This window comes from Homo sapiens, chromosome 22 (assembly GCF_000001405.40).
Source record: "Homo sapiens chromosome 22, GRCh38.p14 Primary Assembly".
In the NCBI taxonomy this organism is placed as follows: domain Eukaryota; kingdom Metazoa; phylum Chordata; class Mammalia; order Primates; family Hominidae; genus Homo; species Homo sapiens.
In genome coordinates, this window is record NC_000022.11 from 48,148,130 (window position 1) to 48,154,049 (window position 5,920).

Here is a 5,920-nt window from a genome sequence, read left to right on the forward strand (position 1 = left end):
TGTCCCCGTCGACATCACCCACTCATGAACTGTGGCCCAAGGAATCTCAGATCTGACCACTCAGATCATCAGCAGCCTTCTTTCTTGGCAAAATAAGCAGGGAAGGGGCTAGAGATAAGGGTGAGGATCCTGCCCTGGATATGACCTCACACATGTGAAGTGAGGGTGGAATGCCCCATCCTGCCAAGCACAGGCTTCGGGGCTCCAGCCTGAAGGTGGGTCAGGGTGAGGGGAGTGGACAGACGCTGGCCACAGCTCAGCCATTCCTCACTCATCTATGTAAAATTAAATTATTCCAGCTTAAAACTGTTGGAACTTGAAGTTATTCTGCGCCTTGGAAGGAACGTGGCTATGAGGCGTGCATCATGTAGCATGCACCTGCAACTTCTGCTTTTTCCTTTCAATGATTAGGAAGGGACTTGTGGCACCAAAGAGAAGACCCCCTCTGGCCATAGCTGCCCCTACAGCATGGGAAAGCCATCTTCCTTGCAATGTAGCAGGCTGAAACCAATCAAGTCACTAAAACATATGCATTGAGCTCATGGGGAGGTGATGCACATTTTTTTAAAGCTTGAAGTTCTGGGATACGTGTGCTGAACATGCAGGTTTGTTACATAGGTATACGTGTGCCATGGTGGTTTGCTGCACTTTTCAACCGTCACCTATGTTTTAAGCTCCTCATGCATTAGGTATCTGTCCTAATGCTCCCCTTCCCCCTGCCCCCCACTCTGCAACAGGCCCCAGTGTATGATGTTCCCCTCCCTGTGTCCGTGTGTTCCCATTGTTCAACTCCCACTTATGAGTGAGAACATGCAGTGTTTGGTTTTCTGTTCTGTATTGGTTTGCTGAGGATGACGGCTTCCAGCTTCATCCATGTCCCTGCAAAGGACATGATCTCATTCTTTTTTATGGCTGCATAGTATTCCATGGTGTATATGTGCCACATTTTCCTTGTCCAGTTTATCATTGATGGGCATTTGGGTTGGTTCCACACCAAAAGCAATTGCAACAAAAGCCAAAATTGACAAATGCAACCTAATTAAACTAAAGAGTTTCTGCACAGCAAAAGAAACTGAACAGGCAACATACAGAATAGGAGAAAATGTTTGCAATCTACCCATCTGACAAAGGTCTAATATACAGAATCTATAAGGAGCTTAGACAAATTTACAAGAAAAAAACAAACAACTCCATCAAAAAGTGGGCAAAGGGGCCAGGCACGGTGGCTCACACCTGTAATCTGAACACTTTGGGAGGCCAAGGTGGGCAGATCACAAGGTCAGGAGATCGAGACCAGCCTGGCCAACATGATGAAACCCCATCTCCACTAAAAAATAAAAAATAAAAAATAAAAATTAGCTGGGCGTGGTGGTGTGCGCCTGTAATCCCAGCTACTCAGGAGGCTGAGGCAGGAGAATCGCTTGAACCTGGGAGGCAGAAGTTGCACTGAGCCAAGATTGTGCCACTGCACTCCAGCCTGGGCAACAGAGCAAGACTCTGTCTCAAAAAAACAAACAAAAAAAAAGTGGGCAAAGGATATGAACAGACACTTCTCCAAAAACGGACATTTATACGGCCAAGAAACATATGAAAAAAAGCTCATCACCACTGCTCATTAGAGAAATGCAAATCCAAACCACAATGAGATACCATCTCACGCCAATTAGAATGGCGATTATTAAAAAGTCAGGAAACAACAGATGCTGGCAAGGCCATTGAGAAATAGGAATGCTTTTATACTCTTGGTGGGAGTGTAAATTATTTCAGCCATTGTGGAAGACAGTGTGGCAATTCCTCAAGGATCTAGAACCAGAAATACCATTTGACCCAGCAATCCCATTACTGGGTATATGCCCAAAGGATTATAAATCATTCTACTATAAAGACACTTGCACACGTATGTTTATTGCAGCACTATTGACAATAGTGTTGCACATGTTAACTGCCTGTAAAGGAAGCTTTGGCCTCCCCACTTTGGAATGATGTCTGATGTTCTTCAAGTCTGTGTTTCCCGGGGGGAGTATTCTCAGTCTCTGTACTCAAACTCTGTACTTAATCTTATTTTCTGAATCTCATGATTTAAGGCTGACATCTAGAACCTGGAACTGCTTTCCTGTGATTCATTTCTTGGTCCTAAATGGGTCTGATACAAGTTTCGCCTTAAGGAACGGTCTAGGAAGTTGGGTGCTGGTCATTCTAATTTTGACTCTAGGTGCCCCTGACTTGGTGAAGTGGGAAAGGGAAGGGACCTTTCTGGTGCACCAGGCCCATTCCCGAACGGGGCTCCTGTGGCCAGCATTAGCCAGTGCCCTCCGTCTTTCTCATCTGGTCCAGTGACACTCACATCTGGGGAATGGGCTCTCTCAAGTTCCTCAAGGACTGCTCAGGCGGGTGGTGGTCACTGGAGTGATCACGGCACATTCATTGTTGGACACTCTTACGTGTATATCCCTTTTAATATCCCCGATAACACTATGGGGACGGACCATTGTTTCTTTTTTGTTTGTTTTTGAGATAAGGTCTCACTCTGTCACCCAGGCTGGAGTACAGTGGTGCGATCTTGGCTCACTGCAGCCTCCGTCTCCCAGGATCAAGGAATTCTCCCACCTCAGCCTCCCAAGTAGCTGGGATTACAGGGGTGCAGCACCATGCCCGGTTAATTTTTGCATTTTTAGTAGAGATGAGGTTTCACCATGTTGGCCAGGCTCATCTCGAACTCCTGACCTCAGGTGATCCACCCGCCTCGGCCTCCCAAAGTGCTGGGATTACAGGTGTGAGCCACCATGCCCACCACCACGCCATTCTAATTGGCGTGAGATGGTATCTCATTGTGGTTTGGATTTGCATTTCTCTAATGAGCAGTGGTGATGAGCTTTTTTTCATATGTTTCTTGGCCGTATAAATGTCCGTTTTTGGAGAAGTGTCTGTTCATATCCTTTGCCCACTTTTTTTTGTTTGTTTTTTTGAGACAGAGTCTTGCTCTGTTGCCCAGGCTGGAGTGCAGTGGCACAATCTTGGCTCAGTGCAACTTCCGAAGCCTCCCGGGTTCAAGCGATTCTCCTGCCTCAGCCTCCTGAGTAGCTGGGATTACAGGCGCACATGTTTCTATTTGTCAGATAAAAAAACTACTGCTCGAGAAGACAGAAAGATGTTGATTAAGAAAACATAAAGTCTGAAGTCTCAGTTATGCAGGCTGATGAAGTCGTGGGGCTCTAATAAACAGGATGGTGGTGTTAATTAACAAAACTGCATTGTATACTTGACATTCGCTAAGGAAGTCGATCTCAAGTGCTCCCCCCACCAACACACACCCACAAAAATAATTACATGAGGTGATGGCCATGGTAATTAGCTTGATGGTGGCAGTCACTTCACAATGTGTACACACATCAAAACATCACATTGCACATCTTAGAATACATATAATTTTTATTTGTCAATCTTAACTCAAGAAAGCTGGGGAGGGAAAGAAGACGGAATTAGATAATGCCTCCAACATTGTCTAGCACATACATAGTCAGCGTTCAGTGACATTTCAATGAGCAACATCATCGTCTTCATTGTCATCATCATCTTCATCAACCTGCTGCTCTGGGATGTCTGATGAAATTTCCAAAGTAAGGTTCTCGATCACGAAACATGAGCTTGTTCCTGCCTCTTGGGGAATGACTGCAGGGTGTGTGACTCTGCTGGGGTGGTACACGCCCTTGGTGGGTGCGGGTTCGTGGTGCAAGCTGGCAGATGCCAGGTGAGACCCACCCCTCGCCCTCAGGTACTGAGCCCCACCTCGGTCCTTGTGAGGTCTGCCCTGAGGCTGGTTGCCTCTGCCAAGCATTTATTTTTTTCATCCCTAAGGAAAACTCACACTCACCTTTGCTGAGAACTCCATTTATTTTTATCTGTTATTTATTCTCCTGACTCATGAAATTGCACCCTTCAGGATGCCAGTACAAAATGTTTTAAAAAATTAGTAAAAATGCATGAAGTGGATGAAAGATGTTAGGCTTCTTTTATCTTCCAAAATATAAATTTAAATACTTTCACTTTATGATCCCCAGAGGAAGAATTAAATAAAAAGTAAGCACAAAAATTTTTATCAAACTCTTACTCCTTCCAACTTAAATGTTAAAAGTAAAAACAAAAACAGAAAGAGGAAGACCTTGGCCCAGCACAGGAGCGTGGTTCTCAAGGCGGATGAGACGGGCCCCTGACGACCCATGGAGCTGAGACCTCGTGACCTTCAGTCCTCACTCGGTGCCTCCCACATGCAGGTGGCAGCACAGACTGTCTGCCCTGGCTGTGGCACTGGACGCGAGGACGGATAAGCATCAGGGCTTGTTGGGGTCAAGAGGTGGACAACACCCCCAGCCCAAGCGTCCACACTAGGCTCTGTCCAGCGAGGATGTGCTGGCCAAGCGGCTGCCCTCACCGAGAGAGGCAGCACAGGAAGACAGCCCCCATGTACCAGAGCCTGCCAGGGAGGCAGATGAGCTCATGTGGGTGCCCGTGGCAGCACACAGGGAAGTCCGAGCCAGAAGGTGGAAACAGGTTCATGGAAGGCCACTTAGAGCAGGGCCTCCCAGCCACCTGGAGCCCCCCACCCCAAGCCCCGTGCCCAGCCCAGGACCCTGCAGGCCTGAAACTGGGGCGGGGGTAGGTACCCAGCTTCTCCTGTGGGCTCATTCACTAATAATTCCTAGAGGGGCCAGGGGCTGGCAGGCTGAGGTTTTGTTTCAGAGCATCAAGGGAAAGAAATGGGCTGGAAGAGAAGCAGGAGGGAAAAAGAAGCTTTAGATGGGAAAGCCTGGGAACAGGTCAGAGAAGCCAGGCCCCCTTCCCAGGGCGAAGGCAGCGATGGAGACCTCATCAGGGCGCTGGTTAGCCCAGGAGTCCCTCCTCTCCAGAAACAGCCCTCAGTGCTGCCGTGGCACACAGAGGATGGGAGGATGGGAGAGACGAGGGTCAGGGAGGCCACCAGGGGACGGGGCTGGACTCCACGAGTGACAGCCATGGCGGGGGCGAGCCGGGCAGCCTGTCGCAGAGCCACAGCTTCTGGGGAAGGCTTCCCTGAGCCTGGTCCCTCATTTGTGCTGGTGAAATGTCCCATTTTGCTGAAGAGGAGACGGACATGGAAGCCTTTGTCTTTAGTTCACGCTTACAAGTGGCACGGGGACGTGCCGGGGGATGAGTCCTGGAGGGGCTCCGGGTGGAGGCTTCCCGGCTGTCCCTGAATTGAAGCACAGGAAGGCGGCAGGGGGTCTTGGGAGGTCAGAACTAGAAAGTGCCTTCAAGATCTTCGTCCCAACTCCCTGTCCCCTAGACAGAAAGCCTCAGAGCTGAGGAGCTACGCTGACTCATCCAAGGTCAAAAGGGAGCTGGTGGCAAAGCCGGGGGACCCCTTGGCTTCACAACGTGGTCATCACAGGCCCTGATGGCATCAGGGCAGTTCACCCCCAAAGCGACTCGGGACACATATTGTGACGTAGTAGGGACTGGGGAAGGGGAAGCGAGTATGGTGGCTCAGATGAAGTAGTTAAAAGCAGAAAACGGGTAACTGCAGAAGTGCTGGTTGTGGGGGGATTTACGCTTCTTTTTCCTCCAAAGCACCTTGTCCTGGAAGTGCCAGGTGCCCTCTGGGAAGGCCCCACTTAGATTGATTTCTCTCTCTTTGGGCACTTTCAAAAGGTCCTCTCCAAAGCGCAATCCATCGACTCCGCCAATCTGTCACCAGGCAGCTCTGGGAACGGAGCCAGGGACTTGCAGGTGTGGCCTCAGCAAAAAGATGAGCAGGGTGGTGCCTCTGCCAGGGAATCGCCTCTGCCAGGGAATCGCCTCCGAGAGCTGAGCCCTAAGGCACGCTGGGCCCCGGCCTGATGGCGCAGAGGGAGGCTCCCCACCCTCCACTCCCTGGCTTTGTGCT

The 5,920-nt window shown here is 49.5% G+C and overlaps 1 annotated feature.

Moving 5' to 3' along the window:
• Positions 4,725–5,516: an enhancer, noted in NCBI's record as "H3K4me1 hESC enhancer chr22:48548671-48549462 (GRCh37/hg19 assembly coordinates)". NCBI's record gives its function as "activates a minimal SCP1, AML or CMV promoter by ChIP-STARR-seq in naive H9 embryonic stem cells {active_cell/tissue: H9 hESC(naive)}" and the evidence as "EXISTENCE:reporter gene assay evidence [ECO:0000049][PMID:30033119]".